The sequence below is a fragment of the Homo sapiens genome, chromosome 8, assembly GCF_000001405.40.
Source record: "Homo sapiens chromosome 8, GRCh38.p14 Primary Assembly".
NCBI classification, from domain to species: Eukaryota; Metazoa; Chordata; class Mammalia; order Primates; family Hominidae; genus Homo; species Homo sapiens.
Genome location: NC_000008.11, coordinates 141,261,882 through 141,286,904, shown reverse-complemented (window position 1 = coordinate 141,286,904; position 25,023 = coordinate 141,261,882). Strand labels below are relative to the sequence as shown.

The 25,023-nt window shown below is 51.9% G+C and overlaps 1 protein-coding gene across 20 annotated transcripts in view, besides 8 other annotated features; it reads left to right on the top strand.

The window, feature by feature from the left end:
* The window catches only part of SLC45A4 (solute carrier family 45 member 4), a 101,115-nt gene that overhangs the window by 21,384 nt on the left and 54,708 nt on the right, over nt 1-25,023 (top strand). The window contains exon 1 of one of the 20 annotated variants that reach the window (XM_047422001.1): nt 6,874-7,420. The exons of 15 other annotated variants lie outside the window; for them this stretch is intronic. The gene's annotated coding sequence lies outside the window, so the exon portion shown is untranslated. Of the gene's footprint in view, nt 1-6,873; nt 7,421-15,071; nt 20,458-25,023 lie in introns of those variants that run through there. 4 more of the 20 variants (XM_047422010.1, XM_047422000.1, XM_047422013.1 and 1 more) reach the window with 4 other exon arrangements.
* Nucleotides 2,835-3,049: a silencer, noted in NCBI's record as "fragment chr8:142293955-142294169 (GRCh37/hg19 assembly coordinates)". NCBI's record gives its function as "represses an EF-1alpha promoter that drives an FKBP-Casp9 reporter gene in an ReSE screen in phorbol 12-myristate 13-acetate-treated (for megakaryocytic differentiation) K562 erythroleukemia cells {active_cell/tissue: K562(+PMA)}" and the evidence as "EXISTENCE:reporter gene assay evidence [ECO:0000049][PMID:32094911]".
* Nucleotides 4,297-5,106: an enhancer, noted in NCBI's record as "H3K27ac-H3K4me1 hESC enhancer chr8:142291898-142292707 (GRCh37/hg19 assembly coordinates)". NCBI's record gives its function as "activates a minimal SCP1, AML or CMV promoter by ChIP-STARR-seq in naive H9 embryonic stem cells {active_cell/tissue: H9 hESC(naive)}" and the evidence as "EXISTENCE:reporter gene assay evidence [ECO:0000049][PMID:30033119]".
* Nucleotides 8,054-8,863: an enhancer, noted in NCBI's record as "H3K27ac-H3K4me1 hESC enhancer chr8:142288141-142288950 (GRCh37/hg19 assembly coordinates)". NCBI's record gives its function as "activates a minimal SCP1, AML or CMV promoter by ChIP-STARR-seq in naive H9 embryonic stem cells {active_cell/tissue: H9 hESC(naive)}" and the evidence as "EXISTENCE:reporter gene assay evidence [ECO:0000049][PMID:30033119]".
* Nucleotides 8,128-8,207: an enhancer, noted in NCBI's record as "active region_28054". NCBI's record gives its function as "activates an Ori minimal core promoter by ATAC-STARR-seq in GM12878 lymphoblastoid cells {active_cell/tissue: GM12878}" and the evidence as "EXISTENCE:reporter gene assay evidence [ECO:0000049][PMID:35858748]".
* Nucleotides 8,218-8,287: an enhancer, noted in NCBI's record as "active region_28053". NCBI's record gives its function as "activates an Ori minimal core promoter by ATAC-STARR-seq in GM12878 lymphoblastoid cells {active_cell/tissue: GM12878}" and the evidence as "EXISTENCE:reporter gene assay evidence [ECO:0000049][PMID:35858748]".
* Nucleotides 9,888-10,464: an enhancer, noted in NCBI's record as "H3K4me1 hESC enhancer chr8:142286540-142287116 (GRCh37/hg19 assembly coordinates)". NCBI's record gives its function as "activates a minimal SCP1, AML or CMV promoter by ChIP-STARR-seq in primed H9 embryonic stem cells {active_cell/tissue: H9 hESC(primed)}" and the evidence as "EXISTENCE:reporter gene assay evidence [ECO:0000049][PMID:30033119]".
* Nucleotides 14,743-15,412: an enhancer, noted in NCBI's record as "H3K27ac-H3K4me1 hESC enhancer chr8:142281592-142282261 (GRCh37/hg19 assembly coordinates)". NCBI's record gives its function as "activates a minimal SCP1, AML or CMV promoter by ChIP-STARR-seq in primed H9 embryonic stem cells {active_cell/tissue: H9 hESC(primed)}" and the evidence as "EXISTENCE:reporter gene assay evidence [ECO:0000049][PMID:30033119]".
* Nucleotides 15,413-16,083: an enhancer, noted in NCBI's record as "H3K27ac-H3K4me1 hESC enhancer chr8:142280921-142281591 (GRCh37/hg19 assembly coordinates)". NCBI's record gives its function as "activates a minimal SCP1, AML or CMV promoter by ChIP-STARR-seq in primed H9 embryonic stem cells {active_cell/tissue: H9 hESC(primed)}" and the evidence as "EXISTENCE:reporter gene assay evidence [ECO:0000049][PMID:30033119]".

Here is a 25,023-nt window from a genome sequence, read left to right as displayed (position 1 = left end):
GCTGACATTGAACTATGGAGTTATTTTGGTTGGCTTCGTTGTAAGGTTTAAAGTAGTTTGTGAAGAGCAGCTGCTTCTATTTTTCCCAAGTCTTGAACTTAACTGGGGGAAGATGGGGAAGAGGTTGGAGGCCGTGGTATGGGGTCGGTGGTGGGGAGCGGGGGGGCGGGGGGGCTGCTGCTGATAAGCGAACAAGTGGGAAAGAAGTTAAAGTTGGGGCCTTACCCATTCCTGGGGCTCCTGGCTGATAACAGGGGGTCACATTTCTGGGGGGCAGGCTCTGAAGAAAGTGTGAGTAGGAAGCAGGGTCAAATGCAGATGGGTGCAGTTACTCTTTTAAATATTCAATGGGGGAAGTACTTTTCTTGTGAAGTATAAATTCCTCGATTTGCACCTGCCCTCATCTGGAAAGGGTTTCAAGTGGTTTAAGTAGGGCGTGTGGGTAAAGGGTGCCCCGAAAGGGACCAGGAAGATACATTGGCAGGCTTCTGCGCTTACCTGGCTCTGCTTGTAACAACCGCGCATGTGAGGCCACCTCTCGGACTGAGTTTCCTGAGGGCACAGATCCCATGTCTCACGCAGGGTGGTGAGGGTGGAGGCCTTTTCTGAACATGCAGTAAACCACCACCGCCCATTCTCCTCAGCTCCCGAGGGAAGGAAGGGGTGTCACAAGCCCATACCTCACCTTCCCGAGGAGGGGCTGTGGGCACCCAGTGCCTTGGGCACCCCAAGGGCTGGAGCCAGGCCTGTCTCCCCTTGTGCCTTTTTGACTCCTCTGGGCATAGCTCACGACCAGGAAGTCCCCAGCGGAGGGGAGCCAGTGTGTCCTTGGTCCCTGCAATGCAACTGCCCACGCCTGTGGGGTCAGTAACAAGAGCCACAGAGCCACGAGGTGCCGCTCACGTCTGCCCCCACCCCAGGCAACCGCAGGCCCCTTCACGCTGCTGGTTCTCCTGAGGAACAGTGTCAAGGAGGTGCCCGGCCCTGTTCTGTTGTGAGAAGCACCACACAGGTTCCAGAGGTCTTGAGGGTGCCCTACTGGGACCATGGCTAGAACTCACGATCTCACATCTTTAGGATGCACTCGGGAAAGACTGAAAGCCAAGGATGTGTTCAGGTGCCCTCGGCCGGTCAGAAGGGGGCACGGGGCGTTTGCAGACCCCTGCCCGGTGTCGTGCTTTCCGCCGTGGGTTGTGCTCCTGCCTCTCAGTCTTGTCCTGTTGGTCCTCGTTATCCCAGGGCGGCGCTTCCCTAACTTGGGGTGCGCGTCTCTTTGGGAAATATGTTTAAACGGACGTGGCCGTGGATGTGCAGTGGGTGGAGTGCAGACCTCACAGGACTTGTAAAGATGCATTTGTTGGAGGCTGACTGCTCGTGTGCGGTTTATACCCCTGGTCTTGTCTGAAGTGGGGTCCTTCCGCAGAAAAACATGACACACCGTGACCTCGGGCCAAGTGCAAGGCCGGTCACTGTGGAGTGGGGATTCGGTAAAGATTTAGTGAAGGTCGAACCCGTGTAACTGGGGAGCACACGGGGGAACCACCTATCTTCCAACGTAGGCGAGGCCCCGTCATGGCGCAGGCCGAGGAATCTCAGCCACGGCAGTGAAGGAAGCCATGAGGCTGCGTGACCCGAGGATGGCCGCTGGGGTGCGGGCGCGTTGTGGTTCCCAGCGGACGCTCTCTGGTGGCTGCTGTTGCAGGCAGGGCAGGGCAGTGACCACGTGCTGAAGGCAGGAGCTGGCGTTTCACCCGCCCTCAGTCCGTGCTGGATCCCGCTGGGCCGCTGGAGAGGAGAAGCTGCCTGTGAGGTGGGGGAAGTCTGCTTGGGAACCAGTGGCCCCGAGCCCCACTGCCAGCTCCGGACCCTGTTCTGCTCAGGCCTCTGCTGGCTACTGGTTCCTGTCAAGCCGGCCTTGCTGGGGGGCCGAGGCCCCAGGGAGTCGGGGTGTGGGGCGGCTCTGCATGCCACGGTGGACGCTTGGGACAGAGCTCCTAAATGTCAGCCGTGGCAGGGACAGGGGCGGGGCAGGGGGCACGGGCAGCTGTTCTCTTCCACAGTCAGGCCCTGGTGGGAACACAGAAGGGCCTCCTGGGGTGCGGAGGGGCAAGGAGCCTCCTGCCCTTCAGTCCTTCTTCATGGGACCCAGGCAGACACAGGCAGGCTTTGTACTGGGGTAGGCGTTTCATCCCCCAGGAGAGCTTTGCTCTAACCAAATAAACAGAGTTACTTGGGGCCACTGGCCAAACTAGAAATATTTTGGATCTAGTGATCTTTTTCTTTGGGTCACTGTTCACCGTAGGAGGTTTTGACCTGTATTCCATTTCAGAATAGGAAGAACGGCTTATTTTTCAGAGTGGCAAATAAGGAAAAGAATGAGAGTATCTCAGAGTCTCTGTTTTCAGCGGCCCTCCTGGGAGAAACATTTTTTATAGACACCAGACGTCCTCGCCAGCCCCGCCAACTTTCCTTCCCCGGATGGCCGTGGAGTGCTGGGGGTGGCCCCTCCCTCCCGAGCTGGTGCGAGGAGAGACCCGCACTGGCTGGGGTGGGCGCTGGGCAGGTGCCCTCAAGTGCACACTGCCACCCTGGCCCTGTGGCCACCTGTTCTTTGCTCTCGAGGCCCCAGGTCCCTGTGCCCACCAGCCGAGCTCTCTTTTGGGCTGTCCTTCTTACATCCCAGACCTCAGAGTCTTCATGACTTGACGGTGGACAGTTGACCTAGATGAACGATTGATCTAGGTGGACAGTTGATCTAGGTGCGGGTGGTTTGGGGGAAGGTGACTGTCATCAAATAATCACTGAGTCATTAAGCAAATTGCATAATGTGTACATGAAAGCCAGTGGAGAAAATATATCAGCAGTCCTAGTTAAAGGAAGCTCCTGCCATTAGGATGAGCAGGAAGACTTTGCGTCTCAGGCTTCCTCAGCCTCTTTAGGTGGCATGAGCTCCACACAGCCTGATTGGGTTTGAGCAGGTGAAACTCTCCTTCCGTAGAGCTCATGTGCAGAGCTGGGCTTTGATGTCCCTAAGTGCTTTGTAACGTGCTGGTTCTGGGAGTTTTCTGTTTTCAAATGTCCAGCCATCATGGGCCCTGCTGCAGTAGGGAGCAGGGTGGAGCTGGAGGTTTCCCTTTGTAACCTGGCTGCCGTTGATTCTTCTGGGTCCACGTGGAAGTGTGGCTGGGCTGTACCCACACTGCCACTTTTCTTCTGCTCCTTCAAGCTGCCCAGCAGTCACTGTAGGAAAATCCTTGAGGCTTTGCACTTGGGTGGCTGAAAGCTGACTGACCACAGCCCGGTGGTGCCCTTTGTCCCTTGCTGCCCCCTGGGACTAGCCTAAAGCGTAGGCGGGGGTGACACCGATGTTGATGCCTGGAATTGATTTCTGGAGCGGTTGGGACATCCAGGGATGCAGTGCGAGAAGCCTTCATTGGTTCTCCTCTCTGCTGCCTTCTCCTGCCTGTCCCAGGGTGCACTGCACTGGGAGCTAGAGGTAGGCCTGGAGCTTTGGGGCTGGGAGGGAACCTTCCCAGGACGTGAGACTGTTGGGCCTGCTAGGAGGCCAGGCACTGCCACTGGTGCCCCTTAGAGAGAAGTACTGAGCGCCACCTGCTCATCTTCCTCATGTTCGCAGAGGCTGCAGTGTTCTTGAGGTGTCGTAGCCTGGGCTCCCCACAGAGTCATGCTTCAGAGGTTCCGTATCTAGCATCTAGCTCAGGACTTGAGGAATCTCATGTTCGTGAGGTTGTGGGATAGGAGAAGCAGTGATGTGACAAATTTTGGATGCAGAAAATCATAAAATCACAAACATTCCAGAGGCAGTAGGGGTGGTTTATCAGCACTTCTTTATCCCTTCAGGTTTTGCCAGAAACTTCTGCTGGCCTCTGGCACTGAGCCTCAGGCAGGATGCCGGTCTGCAGCTTTGCCGCAGGTCTGTGCACGTCTCCGCTAGGCCTCATGGCCTAGGCACGAGGCCGCGCTGACATCGTGTGACCCCTGCCCTGCATCTCTGACTCACGTGCCAGCCAGCCCCACTTCTGGGCACCCAGATGAGAAGTCACTGTGGCACTTGAGCGGGAAAGGAGCTGAGCTCAGGCCCACGGACTTGCAGCTGCCTGTTCAGGCACTGGAGGCGCACGGCAGACTCTTGCGACATCGTCCCAAATCGCGAAGGCAGTGCCAGCCCCGGGAAAGATGGTTGACTTCTTGGCATCTGTTACCTGTAGCCCAGGCCTTGGACGTTGGGTTGAAGTTTAATGTTGTGAAGTGCAAAGGGGAGGCGAGTGCAGAGTTCATGGAAAAGGGAGGACCGCATCCACGAGCTGTGCACGGGGTGGTGTGAGCTGAGCGCAGCGCGCCCTGAGTGGTGGCCTGGAGAGAGGGCAGCGATGGAGGCGGCGTGCCCTGAGCGGCGGCCTGGAGGGAGGGCAGCGATGGAGACAGAGGCTCAGAAGTGCAGTTTGGTGGAGGCGGGGCCGCCCAGCGGGTGAGCTTGACTAGTGGCTGCTTAAGTTTGTGCAGCTGCCTTCTTCAGGCTCGTTCAGAGCAGCTGGCCAGTTTTCAGGAAATTCGAGGAAACTCCATCGTGGGGCCACCTGGGAAGGCAGGAGGAGCATAGTGTCAGGTCGGCTCTGCTCACGTGTCATTGTCCTCTTTGCTGAGGGCCCCCCCTTGGCCTCCCGGGCTCTGTTTCTACCCTGCAGGTTCGAGGTTGGGCAGGATCAGCTCGGATGCTCCTTCCATCCTCGACGTCCTGAGACCCGGGCCTGCCTGTATTTCTGACGATCGTCCTACTTCCAAAGGAGGTTCCCATGCATCCTTCGATTTGCTCTGGGCTTCCCCAGATGAGGAATTGGAGGTCAATCCTGGGAGCCCCATGGCTGACCCGTGTCCTTGCCAACCATGCGTCCTGGCGTTAGGAAAGGTGCCGTGCAGCTCGGGGCAGGAGCCACCACGCGTCCTGGCGTTAGGAAAGGTGCCGTGCAGCTCCGGACGGGGGCCAGGCTTTCACTGGCTTTCTGATAACCAGTGCGAAACACTTATTAACCTAAGGTTTTCGTTTTCTAAACCAAAAATATATCCCTTTTAGTGACAACTGGGTAAAAATCCTAATGAAACCAATGATATCATCATTATTAGATGATTCTTTTATTCTTTTGAGCCATTGAAACAAAAATTAGACCATGTTCAGTAGCTGCTGCTTTTCAGCTAGATGGTCCTGTGTTTTTTGTCTCTTTCAGGCTGAGTCTGTGTATGTGCAAACACTGTCATGTATTGAACCAAGGATTTGACTCATCCTAAGGCCATTTCAGAAAGTCGCCTTAGTTGACAGTACCTTGTCTCTGAGAGCAGTCGAGGGGCCACGTGCTGCCGCGGAGCTTTAAGGCCATTAGCAACCGCTCTGTCCGTGAGAGCCTGCTGTGACAGGCACTGTGCTGTGTCGCCACCTGCCCTTTACAACACTCGCAGTGTTGCTCCCATTTACAGGTGGGGAAACTGAGGGCTGAGCCTGTCACAGTCACAGCTACTGTAGGAGACTGATTCGGAGGTTTTTTTGTTTTTTGAGATGGAGTCTTGCTCTGTCACCCAGGCTGGAGTACGGTGGCGTGATCTCAGCTCACTGCACCCTCCGCCTCCCGGGTTCAAGTGATTCTCCTACCTCAGCCTCCCAAGTAGCTGGGATTACAGGCGCCTGCCACCACACCCAGCTAATTTTTGTACTTTTAGTAGAGACAGGGTTTCACTATGTTGGCCAGGCTGGTCTCGAACTTCTGACCTCAGGTGATCCACCCGCCTCAGCCTCCCAAAGTGCTGGGATTACAGGCATGAGCCACCACACTTGGCTGAGACTGATTCAGACTTTTAAAGTCTGTTTTTCTGCACCAGGGGAACTCGTGCGATGCTGAGAGGATGCCTGGACTCCGTTGTCTTTGAGTAGGAAAATGTGCAGGAGAAGGCAGCCTGGTGTAGGACGCACAGCCCGGTCTTGCGGAGACCTCACGAGGCCCTTTTCCTTTCCCTCCCCTGGGAGAAGCAAGGTCGTGCTAAGACAGTCCTTCGGGAGGTGCCCGGACAGGGACCTGCTCTCTGCACACCCACCTGTTGGGGAGGATTCCAGTTACCTGTGCGAGTCAGGCTCTGTCCTGACAGCTTGCTTCCTGTGTGTGTGGAGCTGCACGCTGTCGCATTACACGAACAAAAACCCCCATGGTGGAGGTACGGGTGGGGCAAAAACACACCCTGCAGAGGGTGGGCCAGCCTAGCACCCACTCAGCCTGGCTGTTTGGAGTCTCAACCTGGGATTGCTGATAGCAGGGGCCCCGAGTGACCCACTGCCCTCAGAGCCGGCCTCAACACCATGTTGCAGGGGCCCCGCGTGACCCACTGCTCTCAGAGCTGGCCCCAACACCATGTTGCATTTGGTTACCCAGGTTACTTAAATGTCTTTCAAGAAAGTAAGTTGGAATCAAATCTAAGCTTGAATGCTCCTTTGTTCCCTTTTATTTCCAACAATCATCTTAAAACCTCTCCTTTTAGTTAAGTCCATTTTCCACCTATTCCTGTTTGCTGTGGGTGGCTTATCTGTTGCCAGGCGCCTGGCCATCAGGGATCCAGGAGACAGAGTCGCAGTCCCGCCCTCACGAGCCAGTGACCCCAGGACAGGGTGGGCAGGGGGCACGTGGGGCCCAGAGGATTGGTGCCCTTGCTCTGTCTCACTCACAGTGCCCAAGGTGAGTCCTGCTGCTCAGCTCGCAGGGGGCTGCATGTGGAGTGTGACACGGGGTGAGGGGCCAGCGTGGTGCTGGGTGCAAGGAGGTGCCTGGGGAGTCGAACTGATGTGCGGCAAGGCTGGAAGCAGTGCCTGGGCCCATGCCTCGCTGCCCTGTGGCCGCCGCTGCTGCCGCTGGTTCTTGCTTTAGAACTGCTGTCTTGGCAGCTTTCACTTCTCATGTAGGCGAGTCCCAAGCTAATATTTATCCTCCAAAGTATCTTAACAATGCTAGATTGCTGAGTGTTTGGGGGGAACTTTATTAATCTTTGAAAGAGTTATTGTTACATTGATAAACTGAGGCACTGTTTACAATAGCCAGATTGTGTTTGGACTTGCAGCCTTTAATTCTGCCGTTAGTTTTTGTTCGCAGATGGAATTGTTTTGGCTGTTCTTGTAAAGACTCCTTTGTCCGTGTGGGTTTTGTTTGTTGCCGGCCAGCGCGGGGCGTGTGCCAGGGAGGGCAGCCTGGCCAGGGAGGGGTGCGCGATGCACCAGGTCAGGTGTTTCCACTGCATGATTGGCAGGCTTCTCGGGAATGCGGAATTGTGTACTCGAAGCCCCCAACTTTTTATGAATTGTCGGTTTACAACTGAAGGCATCTCCTTCCAGAGGGAAAGCTGGCCTCCCTCATCAAAGACTTGCAACGTATGTGAAAGAGCAAGTGACAGACGTAAGAATGGGGGTAGAGGGCATTGAGATGTGGTCCGTGGGATTGCAGGTGTAAAGGAAAATGACACTCTTAGCCGACTTGCTCCTTCAAACAAAGTCAGCTATGAGTCTGTCCTGCGGATGTTACTTTTCAGTAAAGCCAGACTTGTCCTGGCTCCCCTCCAGAGCCGTTTCCTTCACCTGGCAGCCATCCTGGGCTTCTGAGTAGGCGGATGGGAGGCAAGGAAAGGCCGCCTGGCACGGTGGGGATAGAGCCAGGGCCCCGAGGCCACAGGGGCTCCCACGAGCATCGGCCCTTCCTTTCCAGGCTGCGTGGGGGAAGGAGGTGAGAGGAGAACCAGCAGAGCCTGGAGGTGGGTCCCGCAGAATGTGGGAGCCGTCACAGAGGTGGGGGTCTTGGGGTGAAGGCTGGAGCTGGAAGGTGTGGAAGCCAGGCCCAGCCAAGCCTGTGGAGAGAAACTGTGCCCACAGGCTGGGGGCCAAGGTGGGGGCTGGGGCTTTGCTTGTCTGGCCTTGAAGGGGACAGAGCAGGCTGAGGTGTGCTGCCCTGGAGGCTGGAGCCCTGGCCCCCAGCAGCCTGGCAGTGAAATGTGCCTGGGGGCAGTAGGGACAGAGCCCGGGGCAAAGGATGCCCCCAGCAGGTCTGAGCAGCCCTTGCTGCATCCTGCAGTGCTGCCCACTCCCTTGCGGGTGCGTCTGTGCCTTGTTGAGACGTTAGCAAGGAGCCCAGCTTCCTCTCTGGTCAGCTGATTGCATTGCATTTTTCTGCTCACTCACAGTTCCTCTATTTCCTCCACTTGCTTGCCTGTGCTGCCCGTGGGGGCTGTGGTCAGCACTCAGCTGCTGGTGGCTAGGGGGCAGAGGCCTGTCTCTCCTTCGGCTGCCCGCCCCACCTCCACTGCAGGTGCTCACCCCTGTCTCACCAGTGTCCTCGTGGGTCGGCCGCCCGCCCCGCCTCCACCACAGGTGCTCACCCCTGTCCCGCCAGTGTCCTCGTGGGTTGTGCTCACCCCTGTCCCGCCAGTGTCCTCGTGGGTCGGCCGCCCGCCCCGCTTCCACCGCAGGTGCTCACCCCTGTCCCGCTAGTGTCCTTATGGGTTGTGCTCACCCAGTCTCGCCAATGTCCTCATGGGTTTCACAGACCGAGGAGTCCCAGTTGGCTCAGTTGTTGGGTTGCACCGAGATCCCATCGGGGAAACCCACTGCCTCACGAGTGTGGCCTCAGCCCAGGCTCCCTATGTGCTGCAGGAGCTCAGCTCAGCTGCCTGGTGCTGGGGCTGTCAGAGGGCGGGGCTGCTGCTGAGGCAGGTGCAAAAGTGTAAGGGTGTGTCCTGGAACTATTCGCAGATGAGAAGTGTGCTGTATTTAAAACAGTGACTTATAAGTCGGACATGGATGTTGGCATGCATCTGTAGTCCCAGCTGCTTGGGAGGCTGAGGCCGGAGGATTGCTTGAGCCCAGGAATTTGAGGTCACCAGTGAGCTATGATTGCACCACTACATTCTAGCCTGGACCACATGGTGAGACCTTATCTCTTAAAAAATTGTTTTTTTCACTTTGTGAGGCTGAAGCAGGCGGATCACGAGGTCAGGAGATCGAGAGCATCCTGGCTAACACGGTGAAACCCCATCTCTACAAAAAAAATACAAAAAAATTAGCCGGGCGTGGTGGTGGGCGCCTGTAGTCCCAGCTACTCTGGAGGCTGAGGCAGGAGAATGGCGTGAACCCGGGAGGCGGAGCTTGCAGTGAGCCGAGATCGCCCCACTGCACTCCAGCCTGGGGGACAGAGCAAGACTCCATCTCAAAAAAAAAAATGTTTAAAGATAACACAATTTGAAGATTTTTTTTTTTAAGAGTAAAAGGGTGGACTTTTTAGTGAACTAACAGTAAAATCTAAAACATCTAAAGTACGTGAATCATGTTGATTTTATCACGTCTGTGATAAGCTTTCAGGTCTCACTATCATTTGGAGTTCACATAAAGTAAATACAGTTTATTGATGAATTTGAGGACTCCATTGTGTCCAGAGTAGCTTGGCTTAATTATTTTTCTAGGTTTAAACACTGTTGTGTGTCAGCTTCATGAACCTTTGTCCATCACTTAGCAAGGTTTTAATATTCGGGCAGGGATCAGTTGACATTTCTGAAACTGGTCTTTTTGGTAGCCCATGATGGTCCTTTCATTCCGGTCCTCGCCGGACCCGGACCTGTCTTGTGTCCCCAGATGAGGAAGATTCTGATGAAGTTCACCAGTGTCACAGGATGCAGACAAAACGATGTCTGTCCACATGTGGCCGGCGTGTGTGGCTTTGCATTGCCCGTTGCCATCGTGGCGCACCCATCTGTAGAGGGCGGCGCGGGCTCCTCACCCCTGTGCCGGGCATCCTTCAGAGCCTGGCTCGCAGGTGTCCAAGGGCTCTGCCTGCCTTCCCTTGCTGCTGGGAGCTTGCTGGAGGCGACATCCTGTGCTGGCTCACAGGCGGCCATCCGATCCTGGAGGGCAGTGCTTAGGCCGGGGGGACGTCAGCACCTAGGAATTAATGAGTTGGAAAGGTGCCCGTGATATCTTCAGCTGAGGAGCCCGCGTGAGGTGTTTGGCCTTGGAAGCCCAGCGCTGTCTGGGCCTCAGGCAGGGAGGATGCTGTAAACTACCCAGACAAGAAGTAGAGCTTCTGAGCCCGTGTGGGCCTGTAGCAGACCATGTCCTGTGGTCTCTTTCAGCCTGGAAAGAAGGGAAAAGGGCAGTCGACTCCTTTCTTCCTGGTAGGCTCAGTGCCTTGTAGTTGGGGCTGACTCATGGATACCTGTGAGTGCAGTGCTGTGCAGAGGCGTGGGCGACACTGGGGCAGAGTCCGAGTGAGGTCCCCGCCAAGGATCCTGGAGGAATGAGTAGCACCTAGGTTCCAAGAACATTTGGGAGGAACCTGCTGTTTTCCTGGGTGGGGTTATGGACCTGCCACTTTCATGCTGTTGCCAGATTGGGGAAGGCTTCTGTAGTGTTTCCGTACCAAATAGCTGGACCCACTAGCACCTCAGTGCAGTCAGCTTTTCAGACTTGCTCTCCCTACTGAGCTTCAGGAGCTGCTCGCATCGCAAACCTCTGTTGGAAGGTCTAGGCCATCTGAGATTCAGTAAGTCATCTTAAAACACTCCTGAATGTCATATCACTTACCCAGACTTGTGTGATGTTGGACAGGGAACCAGAAAATCTGTTTTTAGAGGTAACTTATTGTTTGTTTGTTTTAATTAAAAGTAAATTTGGCCAGGCAAGGTGGCTCACACTTGTAATCCCAGCAATTTGGGAGGCTGAGGAGGGAGGATCACTTAAGCCCAGGAGTTCAAGACCAGCCTGTGCAGCATAGTGAGATCCCATCTCAAAAAATCAGCTAGGTATGGTGCCATATACCTGTAGTCCTAGCTTCTTGGGAGACTGAGGTGGGAGGATTGCCTGAGCCCAGAAGGTGGAGGTTGCAGTGAGCCGTGACTGAGCCACTGCACTCCAGCCTGGGTGACACAGTAAGACCCCATCTCAAAAAAAAAAAAAAGTAAAGTTTAGGTCCTATAGGAGCAGAAAGACTCTATGAAACATGCGTAAATAACACCTTTTTATCTGCATCCGTACCTTTCTAAAGAACTCAATGTGATCATAATGTAGTTTTAACCTGCTTAAACTTAGGTAGTGGGTAAGTATATTTGCATGTCAACAAATTGTCATTCATCATGATTTTGTGATTTTGTATGTGGATATGCCATGCTTTATTTTACCAATCTTTTTTGGATATTTAAGGTTTCTTAGTGGTGTAATAAGCATTGCTCTGTAGTGTTTCATGGTTGTTGTTGTTTTTTTTTTTTGAGACAGGGGTCTCACTATATTGCCCAGGCTGGAACACGCCACCTATTCACAGGTGGAGTCATGGTTCACTGCAGCCCCGAATTCCAGGACTCAAGTGATCCTCCTGCTTCAGCCTACCGAATAGCTGGGACCACAGGAGCATGCCACCAAGCCTGGCTTCCTGTGGCTTTGTTTTCTTATGATAAGTTCTAAAGGGTAAAATTTTGGGATCAAAAGTTGTACGCATTTTAAGGTTTTTGATACATATTAACCAGGACTCCAGTTTTTAAGAAGTCATTTTTGTTGACTTCGGGACTGTCCCAATTAATTCCCTAGGAGATATTGTTCATCTTGAACGTGGCTGCTGTCCATAATCCCAAGAAAACGCTTGGTTCTGAACAGCTGACTTTTCCAGATAAATGAGGGGCTGCTCGCTGAACTATAGACTGACTTTCCTCGTCACAGAAAATGGGGGACCACGAGGTTATGGGATAACTCCTCTCTCGTAGAGGAGGGGAGATGTTTCGTGGGTTTTCAGTCGAACCGATGTGGTTGGCGGAATTCAGAGCTGGCTCCTGCCGGCGCCACGCCCCGTAGAGTTGTCCAGCCACTTCCCTGCATGAAGACAGGAGAGCACGAAGAGAAAGTGGCCGTTCTGCCCTCTCCTCTGTCTCCCATCCGCAGTGGCCCTCTGAACCGGAATGCCCCTGGGGCCCCCTTTTCCTTGTGGTGAACCCCTGTTGTGAGTTTACACAAGGGATCCACGAGGAAGTAGAAGGGTTTTGCAGAGGGCCACAGGGCATCATGAGGTACTGTTAAAAGTGTCACCTTAGCCCATGTTTTTAGTGGCTCAGCCATGCCATGTCATCCAGCAAGTAGTAGAGGTGACCCATTCTGTCCCTCGAGATGGCTGACCTTCAGCCTTAGTTTCTGGCGGAGCCCCTGGTATTGAGGAGAGTGAAGGGGAGAGGGTCCCATGGTGGTTTTGTTGTTTACTTGGTCTTAGAAAGTAGGAATAAATCTAGCCCCAGGCCAAGGCCATATGTAAGTTTTGGTCATTCACCCACATTTCACTTTTTTTTTTTTTTTTTTTTTGAGACCGAGTTTCTCTCTTGTCGCCCAGGCTGGAGTGCAATGGTGCGATCGCGGCTCACTGCAACCTCCGCCTCCCGGGTTCAAGCGATTCTCCTGCCTCAGCCTCCCGAGTACCTGGGATTACAGGTGTCTGTCACCACGCCCAGCTTATTTTTGTATTTTTAACAGAGACTGGGTTTTACCATGTTGGCCAGGCTGGTCTTGAACTCCTGACCTCGGGTGATCCACCCGCCTCAGCCTCCCAAAGTGCTGGGATTACAGGCGTGAGCTACCACACCTGGCCCAAACTTTACATTTTGTTTGTTTGAGACTGAGTCTCCCTCTGTTGCCCAGGCTGGAGCGCAGTGGCGTGATCTCGGCTCACTGTAAACTCTGTCTCCCAGGTTCACGCCATTCTCCTGCCTCAGCCTCCAGAGTAGCTGGGACTATCGGCGCCTGCCACCACGCCCAGCTATTTTTTTGTATTTTTAGTAGAGACGAGGTTTCACTGTGTTAGGCAGGATGGTCTCAATCTTCTGACCTCATGATCCACCCGCCTCGGCCTCCCAAAGTGCTGGGATTACAGGCGTGAGCCACCACGCCTGGCCCAAACTTTACGTTTTTTAAAGACAAGCTTTGACATTAACATTGCTGAAATATCCGTCATACTTCCCTTCAAACACACGGACATCGTGTGTCCTGAGTGCACACCATAACTGAAAGAGCTCCGTATCATTGGACAGTTAGCCATTTCCATTTTTCACTTTCGTAGCACGACGTTCACTATGTTCTTTTCTGCTTGAGGTTAAGTTCAGGACCTGGAAACCGCTTTGATTTGACTTGATTTTACATGGAAGAACCATCAAAAGGTCTAATTCCATCTTGGCAGTCATTAGTGGTATTCCTCAATTGTGCCCTGTCTGTGAGGTCAGTTCTTGATTATATGTGTGTGATGTGAGGGTTTCTGCTTCCATGTTTGGATACCATTTAGCTGCTTCGCGTGCTGTCAGGAACACGCGACCTGCCTCTCCCACGCTGCGGGTGACAGACTCAGTTTGTTTGTACCTGCGTTTGCTCCTAAAGTAACCGCGACTCAGAGGAGACCTAGTTTATCCTAGGGCTTATGGGCATTTCAGGTTGATACTGGCGCTTGATTTTCCTGAATTCCCAGCTGAGATTTCAGGGGATGCGCAGGCTAGAAGCATGCCACCGTTTCCATGGCAGCCAAAGCGTCCTTCGGACCCTGGCACACACACCAGGTCAGTGCTTGAGCATTTGGAAAGAAGGGCACACCCCTCATTGCCTCTTAATTAAAAATCCAAAAACCTACTCAGCTGATCATGCAAATCAAGGAGACTATATACAGGTAAGAAGGGAGATGAGCAAAACTTTGTATGTTCTAACAGAAGCTCAGTGGCGCGGAGAATATTTTCTTTTGGGGGCAGTGTGTCCTTGTTTTCATGTGATTTCCTCTTAAATGAGCTCTTCTCGCGTGTTTGCTACGTGTCGGACACTGCATCTTCTTCCTGTTGACATTTAGGTAACAGTTTGTTTTGGTAGAAGATGAAGAGGGATTCTGTTTAAAAAGGTGTCTTATTTCAAATCCTAACACCTTAACCCTTAAATTTTAGAAAGTGGAGTAATAAATGCTTTGATTCGATGCAGTATTGAGGAGTATTTACCGTCATGTAAATTGTCACTGGCCTTTGCCTGTTGAAATACACTGTTGCGTTTACTTTCTGTCTGGTGTTGTGGAGGGAAGGGGGAGAGCTTGGGGTCCTGTTGGAACTCGGCTCCAGGCAGCGCTGGCGAGGAGGCTGTTTGACCAGTGTGCCTAGGACAGCACCACTGAGGGGCAGCGGGCAGAGGGTATAGCAGGAGTAGGGGGGGTGAGGGCCTAAGGCTTGCAGGTGCCGTGTGGCAAGGGCCCCGTGGTTGGGCTGGGCTGGCAGGCTCTCCGGAAGGGTTTGGGGAGCCAGGCAGGACTCCGTGAGGTGAGGAATGGCTGGTCTGACTCTGTGTTGTAAGGTACCGCCCTGTTCACAGTACTGACAGCGGGTACTGTGGGTAAGGGTGGAAGCTGTGAAACCAGTCACGACCCTCCCGTGGTAGCCTGGGCAGGAGATGCACTGGCACAGATGTGGAGGAGAAGGTGGGAGGGGAGGTTCTGGGTGCACTGGGAGACAGAGCCCAGTCTGCGAGATCAGCCGTAGCGCGTGAGCTGGTGAACACACCACACACCACCTCCTGTTCAGATTTTGGCTTTAGTGTATTTTGGGGACTGTCCTGACCTGTGTCAGCAGGCTTCATAATCATGCTTCTAAACTGAATGAATTTCTCTGATTAGAATATGGCAACCAGGGAGATTGCATTTCCTGTCTTTATATAGTTTTGAAGATCAGGAAGATCAATGAAAATGAAAATTTTTGAAAGAGACACTTTCAGCTCAGCATGCCTGTGTGTTGCGTGCACATGTGTGGGAATGGATGTGTGTGCGCAGGTGTGTGTTGCACACGTGTGTGAATGCATGTGTGTACGCAGGTGTGTGTTGCATGCACACGTGTATGGGTGCATGTGTGTACGCAGGTGTGTTGCACACGTGTGAGTGCATGTGTGAATGCAGGTGTGTGTTGCACACGTGTGAGCGCATGTATGTGTACGCAGGTGTGTGTTGCATGCACGTGTGTGAGTGCGTGTGTGTGTGTGTACACAGGTGTGTGTTGCATGCACACGTGGTGTGTGTGTTGTGTGCACACTTGTGTATATACACTCAGTGCCTGTCCTGTGCTGTGTTGGTGCTGGGGTGGTGTCAGGAAGAGTGTTGGTGAACTGCGGACTTCCCCTGACATATGATCATATCTGTGAGAGTGGCTCTCCCCTGCCAGTTGTTTGGGGGATAGAACGGTGTCTGGTGGAGAAGAGCTGAGCTTCCCTGGCCCCTTCTGAAATGGGGTCAGGAAGGGGATCAGGAGGGGGATTACCCTGATGCCTGCTGCCTGCTCCCATTTGATCCACCCACACAGCCTCTCGAGGTAGGGGCTTGGCACCCCGTTGTCCAGCTGTGTGTGGCCTTTCTGAATGACGTGGTTCTTGGGCATCTGAGCCAGTCGCCAGCCATGTGCCCTGCCCCACAGGCCCTGGGAGTTCCTGGTAGGATCCCACAGCTGTTGGCAAGTCTGAGGTTTGCCTTTGCAGATGGAAAAATGGCTTCCAGAATTGAGTGTGGTGCCAGCCAGGAGAGCCCAGAAGCTGTGAGGTGATGCTCTAGCCTGTGGTGCAGGGGCCTTGCCACCAGCATCCTACAGTTGGCCTGTGACTTCACCGGCAGGAAGGTCATCTTCTCCAGGAAGTCTCTGGGAGCTCTTCCAGTAAGCTCAGTTTCCAGTGGATTTCCTAGCCATAATGTGTGGGGTTAGCCCCGTGTGCTGGGCGCCGGAGGCGGGCAAGCGTTCTGGCTCATCAGTAACTATGAGAACAGCATTGTCGATGTCAGTCAGAGCCTTTGTGGGAATAGTGCCATTGTAGGTCCTTTACTCTGGCTTGGCGTTAGCACCCAAGGCGCTTCATTTGCTCATTTATAGGTCCTTCTGAGTCCCTGTCTCGCCAGGCCATGCCCTCTGCCTGCCCCTGGGGTCAGGGATCTTGCCGTGGCTGGGGAGACACAAGCACGTGACTGACTAGACAGGGAGGTACGAGCTGGTCGAGCTGGTGGTGCCGTGGGGACCCAGAGGAAGTCTTGGGGTCCAGGGAGCCCCCTGGGCTGGGGGAAGGGCCCTTTGGTATGTAGAGTTTACTGCTGAGAAAGCAGGCCCAGCAAAGGGAAATGAGCTTGCACCAGGCCTCCTGGAGGTCTGGGCGAGTCTGCGAGGGTCACGCTGGCATTGGACACGGGACAGAGACTCTGTCACCCTGGCTAGAGTGCAGCGATGCGATCTTGGCTCACTGCAGCCTCCACCTCCTGGCCTCAAGCGGTTCTCCCACCTCAGTCTCCTGAGTAGCTGGGACTACAGGAGTGTGCCACCACACCTGGCTAATTTTTTTTTTTGTAAAGATGGGGTTTTGCCATGTTGTCCAGGCTGGTCTGGAACTCCTGAGCTCAGGCGATTCTCCCGCCTCAGCCTCCCAAAGTGTTAGGATTACAGGCGTTAGCTACCGCGCCGAGCCTTTTTTTTTTTTTAATGTATTTATTTATGTAGAGATGGGGTCTCGCTGTGTCGCCCAGGGTGGTCTTGAACTCCTGGCCCCAAGCAATCCTCCTTCCTCAGCCTCCCAAAGTGCTAGGATTATAGTGGTGAGCCACCGCCCCCTGGTTTTCTTTATTGATGGAGTAATTATGGGTTGGACTGGCCCCTCTGCCTTTAGCACTTAGGGATTCGTTTCTTTTAAAGACCATCTGGGTGCCTGCGCTGCGTGTGTGCTGGACCCAGAGGTAGTCCAACTGCGCTGTGCCCTCAGGGTCTGTGGGGCAGGAGGCAAGGTCTGCAAGCAGGTGTGAGAAGGGCAGGGCAAGGGTCTGGAGGAGGCGGGAGGAGACTTCAGGGCACTGTCTGGGGCTTGGGCCAGGCCGCCCCATATGGTCAGCAGAGGAGTGCGGGGAAAGACATGCTGGGGGCATGCACACTGGGCTGCCTCTGCTGTGGGGATGCCAGCCATAGACACACTGTGGCCATACGGTGTCCGCTCATTCCTGGGGGCCCTTCCAGATTTTCCTTGATTCAGTTTCTTCAAACTTAGGGTATTTTACAAACACAACACATACACATGCACAGATGTACAGACACAGACATGCAGAGATAGACACAGACATACAGACACATATAGATCCATCCAGAGATGCAGAGACAGACACACACAGACACAGACACACATACACATGCCCACACAGACATACAGACGCAGGCAGACAGACACCCCCACACACCCCCCGCACAGACACATAGGCAGACATTGATACACAGACACACCCACACACACAGACACATAGGCAGACATTGACACACAGACACACCCACACACACACCCACATAGGCAGACATCGATACACACACGCGACACAGGCAGACATCACACACACACACACACACACACACAGACACATAGGCAGACATCGACACACATACACCTGGCCTCTGCCCACTCCCCTCTGCCGCTGCAGATTCACAGCAAGCTCTAATTGAAAGGAGAGCAGAGAAGAAGGATGGATGTGTGGTCTGCTGTGCGTCCTTTTCGGTTTCTGAAGTGCCCTGACTTGTGGCACAAAATGCACAAAGACGGTTATCAGAAGACTTAAGGCACAATTAAGCTTTAGATCATTCATCTCTGAAGTGCTGGGGTGTTCTAACTGGGACACTCTTGAGGGTGAAAGCGGGGACGTAGTAGCTGCCCCGCCAGGGTGACAGCGCAGCCTGGAGCTGTCGGGTGAGGTGGAGCTCGTGGCGCTCCCTATACAGCGTATGACTCAGGAGTGGCTGCAGTGCAGACTCTTGGTCTCTGATCCAGTGGGTCTGGGGTGGAGCCCCAGAACCTGCAGTTTAGGGAAGCCCCTCCACACTGATCCACGTGAGGCGCTGAGTGTTTGGAGGATGCCAGGATGTCACATGCCTCGTTGAAACTGGTGTGAACTTTGTATTTCTTTAGCCCATGTGTCTGGGACTAGAGGCTCGTTGTATGATCAGAGGCAGCCAAGCTGGGTTTTTCCAGGTGATGCATAGCACACCCGGAGATGGGCGCCTCCACGATAGGACACTTTGTTCAGGTGTAAGCAGGTGGCACAGAAAGCTTCCCCAAGTACGCGGCAGTCAGCATGGATGCCCCTTAATTCCTTTCTCATGAAGAGTTTTGGTTTCTTCCTAACACTGGACAACCAGGGATTATCAGGAGTTTTTGATTGCCTTATTTATTTATGTAAATACAAGGACACAACATTGAAAATCAACAAACTACTTTCTAGAGCAGTTTTAGGTTCACAACAAAATTGAGAGGAAGATAACAGATTTCCCGTGTGCCCCTGCCCCCACTCCCAGCCTCCCCCAGTGTCTGTGTCGCCGGCCAGAGTGGGACATTGATTACGGTGGATGAGCCTGCAGTGGCACGTCTCTGTCACCCCAGTGCGGAGGTCACGTCAGGGTCTCCACTCTGGGTGCTGTAGCTCCAGTAGGTTGGCAAATGCATAGTGACATGCGTCTGCCATTAGAGTGCCATACAGAGTAGTTCCACTGCCCTGACACCCTCCTCAGCCTCTCTTCTTCCCCAGGCCCTGGTCACCGCTGCTTCTTTTACTGTGTGCTTGATTTTGCCTCTTCCAGAAAGTCGTCTAGTTGGAATCACGCAGTTGGTAGCCGTTTCAGAGTAGCTTCTTTCACTTAGAAATACTCATTTAAAGTGCCCGCATATCTTTTCGTGCATGGCGTCAGAGCTCATTTCCGTTTAGCGGTGAATGACATTCCATCATCTGGATGTTCCACGGTTTATTCAGTCACCTACACAAGGACGTCTTGGTTGCTTCCAAGTTTTGGCAATGACGAATAAAGCGGCTCTCACATCTGAGCACAGGTTTTTGTGTGGACATAAGTTCTCAGCTCTGTTTGGTAAATACCAAGGAACTTGGTTGCTGGGTGGCATGGTTGAAAGTATGTCTGGTTTTGTGAAAATGGGCAAACCGTCTTTCGAAGTGGTTGCTGCATTTTACATTTCTGCCAACCGTGAACGAGCGTTCCTGCTGCCCCACATCCTCACCTGCTTTTGGTGTTGTCCGTGCCCTAAGCTTTGGCCATTCTCATAGGTGTGTGGTGGCACCACAGCTACAACCCCTTGAGGACCTCGAGTGTGGAGTATCTTTCCATATGCTCATTTGCTGTCTGTGTATCATCTTTGGTGAGGTGTCTTCAGACTTTTTGCCATCTTTTCCCCCATATAGCAAAAGATCATTTATTGGCTCTTGTTCTTCCAGCTCTTTGCTTTGAAACTGAGCAGACGCTACTCTTTAAGCCTCAAAATCCAACACATCATGTGCATCCTACTTTCTGTAATAAGAATCCATCTCACACAGTGTAAAGCCTTGCCTTGCCTCAAAAATGCAATTCCCTGGCACTGTCCGGCGTCATCAAGTAGTCACAACATTCTTGCCCGCACAGGGCTTCTGTGAACTCTGCAGGCACGCATGTGCACAGCCGTACGCTCGCTGGTGAGCCTGCCTCCATCCCTCAGCGTCTCCACTCCAGTGCAGGAGCCTGGACTATTGCACTGTGTAGCCACGCAGGCCCCACGGGACACGGCAGCAGGTGGTCTGCCGGCTTCCCAGAGCTGCTGCCCCGGTATCATTCCTGAAGGACAGCAGTGAAGCTGCTGAGGCCAAGGGAAGGCCAGAGTCCAAGGAAGGCAGTGGAAGTGTCACGGAAGTCTCCTGGCTTGTGGTGAATGCAGCACTTGCTATATGCGCACACAGATTTGGCCGTTCACAGGCAGGTCACCTGCCCCGTCCTGCCAGCCCCCGCAGTTCAGGGACCTGCCCACCGCTGTCCTGGGGCTCCCTTGCTGTGTCGTGTTGCTTGACTATGTGCCTACTCTGAGTCCAGTATAGCTCAAGACAGCTTGCCAGACCAGGGTACCACAAATTGTTAGAAAATTAATACTTCATTTCCTCATTTCCAGTATCTTAATGGTAGAGTGATGGCGGACATTTGTGGGAATAAGGCACTTCAACATCTGGGCCCTCTTGTTAGATCTGTTTTGGAAATTTCCGCCCTTCCAGCACACACTGCTTGCCCCACACTTCCTGCCCAGCCAGGCATGCACTGAATACATGTGGGGAGGAACTTGTAGAAGAGCTCATTTTCTTTTCGTTGAGTTTTAAGGACTCTTTGTATATTATGGATGCCAGTCTTTTATCAGATATGTCTTTTGCGAATACTTTTACCCCGTTTGTGGCTTGTCGTCTTCTTCCCTTGACACACACTGGTTTCATGCTGGAAGTCAGTGGGATTTCCCACATGCTTTTCAGGAAATAGCCTTAGACGCAGAATTGCCAATGCTGCTGTTAGTGTTCCTCTCCGTGGCCATCTGGAGAGGCAGGAAGACACGTGCCGGCCGTGACTGGGGGAACTGCATTGGTAAAGATTGAACGGGGCCGTCCGAGGCTGATGGTGGTGGTGGGTTTGTCTGACTGTGGGTGCCCCTACTCATGCCTGTTTCTGGGTGGTGGGTGCAGAAAACACACAGCCGTTCTCATGAGCCGGCCCTCATCAGCATGTGCCGCCCACAAGCGGTGTCTGCAGCCCATGGTGTCAGGCCCATGCGTGCGTGTACATGCGCTTCGTGTGTAGGGGCTGTGAAAGGGGCAGCACACGTTTGTGGTCACCGTGCGGACGCGTGTTGTCCGGACTCGCTAGACCGCTTCCCAGGAAGCATGGCTCACGGAATTCTCCTGTCGCTGTTGAACGCTGGGACTGTGCTGTAGATCTGAAAGTTTCACCCAAGCTTGAGGTGTGTGTCAGCAGCAACTCTCCAGTTACCTTTTTGGTGAAATTTAAGTTTACAGCCAGCTTTTCCACTCAGCAAATTGTAGGAAGTCATGTGTTTTGGCATCAGTTACCCTTAAATTAGAAACAGGACAATAGAGGAAGTTGTTGATTGGAACAATTGTAGTTTCGCTTGTCTGAGTGCATCTGCGAATCATAACAAAATTGTTGTCACCGAATGCCCCGACAGTCGCTGGAACAGATTCCAAAGGGAAGCTTGCTTTTCCATGCTGGGGAAAATCTGCCCGAAAAGTTTCACTGTTCTTTTGAATATGAGATACTAGAACAGGTCACAGCTTAACTTTTGAGCTTCTCCGCATTTTAAGCAGCTGAGGCGACAGCAGCTCTCAGGGGTACAGGATTGCCTGTGCTGGGGAAGGAGGAGCGTGACCTCCCTTAAATGGGTTCAGTGTGACGTCATGCCTCAGTAGGGAGTTTTCAGCTGTGTACTAGAGAAGAATCATTTTCCTTTTTTCAGATAATGCTCTCGTGCTTATATAAAATAGTTTCCTTACAGAAAACAATTTGCTTGCTCTAAGAAAGTGACCTCACGGCTGTAGTTTGCTGGGCGTTGGACTGGTTTTATGGTATCTGATTGCCCCCGCGCAGTGTGAGAACACGCCCCGCGCTGGCACCCAGCCCCTCCCTGCACACTCCTCCCTTCTCTTCTCAGAGCTGCTTTCCTTTCATTTCTTGTGAGGCCCTAGAGATGAAGTGACTGGGGGAGGCCGTGAAGGGAAGGATTTCAAACTGCCTCAGAGTCTTCGTGTTCAGGAAATATGCACCACATGGGCCCTTGTTCCAGTCCCAGCAAGGGCTGTGGGTGAGGAGGACCAGAGGGCCTCGAGGTGTCCACTGTTGTCTCTCGGGAAATGGACCATCACATCCAAACATGTGTCCATAAACTTTGGAAATACAATCCATCTTTAAGTTGGCAGCTATGCATATTTTGGTGATGGTTTGGTAGACTTGTTAATTTGGTTATATTCTTTTTTTTGTCCATTCTCGCTCAGACAACAAAAGAATTAGATTATAAACTGAAAATATAAGAATGAATAGCCTTAATTAGATGGGAAGGAACACAGGGGCCTTTCCAGCATGATAGACGGGTTCTGTCTTGATAGGAATTTGTTGAAACTGTCTGGGTAGTACCTTCTCACTGCATGTAAATTATAGCTGACTTCATAAACAACACTTAACAGCTGTCATGATCTAGCCAGTTAGAAAACATAAGGGCAGAGGAAATCCTATTTGCAGTGACCATGACAAAGGTTAATTAGGAGAAAACAATGTGGAAGACCATGGAAGGACTGCTTTTAAGTTCTCCCCGAAGGCGTCAGGGTGGACTTGGACAGGTGCAGGAGCGCTGTTGTTCTTGGAGAGAACGACTCAGCAGCCTGAGGATATTGGCTCCCCCCAGGCTAGTTTATAACATTAATGGAATCTCAATAAAAATACCAACAAAGACTTTTTTCCCAGAGCGAATCAAAAGTTCACGTGCTCATAAAGTTCTTGGCAATAAACATGAGAGAATTATTAGGACAGCACTGATGGGGAATAAGCAGCAACATCAGGACCCTCCCCTCCCCCAGCAGAGGTCGAGATGTCCCGGCAGCCTCTCTGCCTCCCGCGGCTAGGTAGACAGGCACATGGGTGGGACAGATTGCAGCCTTGAGAAACGGAGACAAGTGCACGCCGACATTTGGTGTGTGATAAAAGAGCAGTCTCAGGGCTGGCGGTGGACTCTCAGATCAATCATACTGCAACACCCAGAGGGCCACCGGGAGATGCAAAGTGGCTCCTGACTCACACCACACTCGAGCATATGGATCCAAGGCCTCACACGGACCCACATAGTTTTCCACTGGGAGCTGTCATCTGGGTTGAACATTCAGTAGCCTGTTACATGGATTTCCTGACCGGGACATGCTCTTGCGTTCTTAAACGTATCAGAATTTGCTGGTACCTTTCCCATGGGCTGTGGACCCAGGAACCTGTCCTTCAGCCTTGGCCCTTTAACTGAAGAAATACTCAGACTGGTTCTTCTGGCACCAACCCGGAGGCCACCAGCTTTCCTTTCAGAGTGGCCAGTGCTGGGGCCGGGTCACCATGGCCTTCTCTGTGTGCTGTCCCCTGCAGTTCCACCCTCTAGATCTTTCGGTATTCATAGCCACTCCTTGACAAGGTGATAGGACCCTTAATTAATTTATTTATTTTCTTTCTTTCTCTCTCTTTTTGTTTTTATTATTATTTTTATTTTTTTTTTTTTTGAGACGGAGTCTTGCTCTGTCGCCCAGGCTGGAGTACAGTGGCGCAGTTTCGGCTCACTGCAACCTCTGCCTCCCGGGTTCAAGCAATTCTCCTGCTTCAGCCTCCCCAGTAGCTGGGATTACAGGCACATGCCACCATGCCCAGCTAATTTTTGTATTTTTTTTTTTAAGTAGAGATGGGGTTTCACCATGTTGACCAGGATGGTCTTGATCTGACGTCGTGATCTACCCGCCTCGGCCTCCCAAAATGCTGGGATTACAGGCATGAGCCACTGCGCCCGGCCATGACCCTTGATTTTCTAAGTAAACACTTAAACTTTATTTATTTATTTATTTATTTATTTTTTCACAGTTTATGTTGACTTTATTTCTTTTTTCTTCTTCTTTTTTTAAAATTTTATTATTATTATACTTTAAGTTTTAGGGTACATGTGCACAATGTGCCGGTTAGTTACATATGTATACATGTGCCATGTTGGTGTGCTGCACCCATTAACTCGTCATTTAACATTAGGTATATCTCTTCATGCTATCCCTCCCCCCTCCCCCCACCCCACAACAGTCCCCGGCGTGTGACGGTCCCCTTCCTGTGTCCATGTGTTCTCATTGTTCAATTCCCATCTATGAGTGAGAACACGTGGTGTTTGGTTTTTTGTCCTTGCGATAGTTTACTGAGAATGATGGTTTCCAGTTTCATCCATGTCCCTACAAAGGACATGAACTCATCATTTTTTATGGCTGCATAGTATTCCATGGTGTATATGTGCCACATTTTCTTAATCCAGTCTATCATTGTTGGACATTTAGGTTGGTTCCAAGTCTTTGCTATTGTGAATAGTGCTGCAATAAACATATGTGTGCATGTGTCTTTATAGCAGCATGATTTATAGTCCTTTGGGTATATACCCAGTAATGGGATGGCTGGGTCAAATGGTATTTCTAGTTCTAGATCCCTGAGGAATCGCCACACTGACTTCCACAATGGTTGAACTAGTTTACAGTCCCACCAACAGTGTAAAAGTGTTCCTATTTCTCCACATCCTCTCCAGTACCTGTTGTTTCTGACTTTTTAATGATTGCCATTCTAACTGGTGTGAGATGGTATCTCATTGTGGTTTTGATTTGCATTTCTCTGATGGCCAGTGATGATGAGCATTTTTTCATGTGTTTTTTGGCTGCATAAATGTCTTCTTTTGAGAAGTGTCTGTTCATATCCTTCACCCACTTTTTGATGGGGTTGTTTTTTTTCTTGTAAATTTGTTTGAGTTCATTGTAGATTCTGGATATTAGCCCTTTGTCAGATGAGTAGGTTGTGAAAATTTTCTCCCATTTTGTAGGTTGCCTGTTCACTCTGATGGTAGTTTCTTTTGCTGTGCAGAAGCTCTTTAGTTTAATTAGATCCCATTTGTCAATTTTGGCTTTTGTTGCCATTGCTTTTGGTGTTTTAGACATGAAGTCCTTGCCCATGCCTATGTCCTGAATGGTATTGCCTAGGTTTTCTTCTAGGGTTTTTATGGTTTTAGGTCTAACATGTAAGTCTTTAATCCATCTTGAATTAATTTTTGTATAAGGTGTAAGGAAGGGATCCAGTTTCAGCTTTCTACATATGGCTAGCCAGTTTTCCCAGCACCATTTATTAAATAGGGAATCCTTTCCCAATTTCTTGTTTTTGTCAGGTTTGTCAAAGATTAGATGGTTGTAGATATGTGGCATTGTTTCTGAGGGCTCTGTTCTGTTCCATTGATCTATATCTCTGTTTTGGTACCAGTACCATGCTGTTTTGGTTACTGTAGCCTTGTAGTATAGTTTGAAGTCAGGTAGCGTGATGCCTCCAGCTTTGTTCTTTTGGCTTAGGATGCGATGCAGGCTCTTTATTGGTTCCATATGA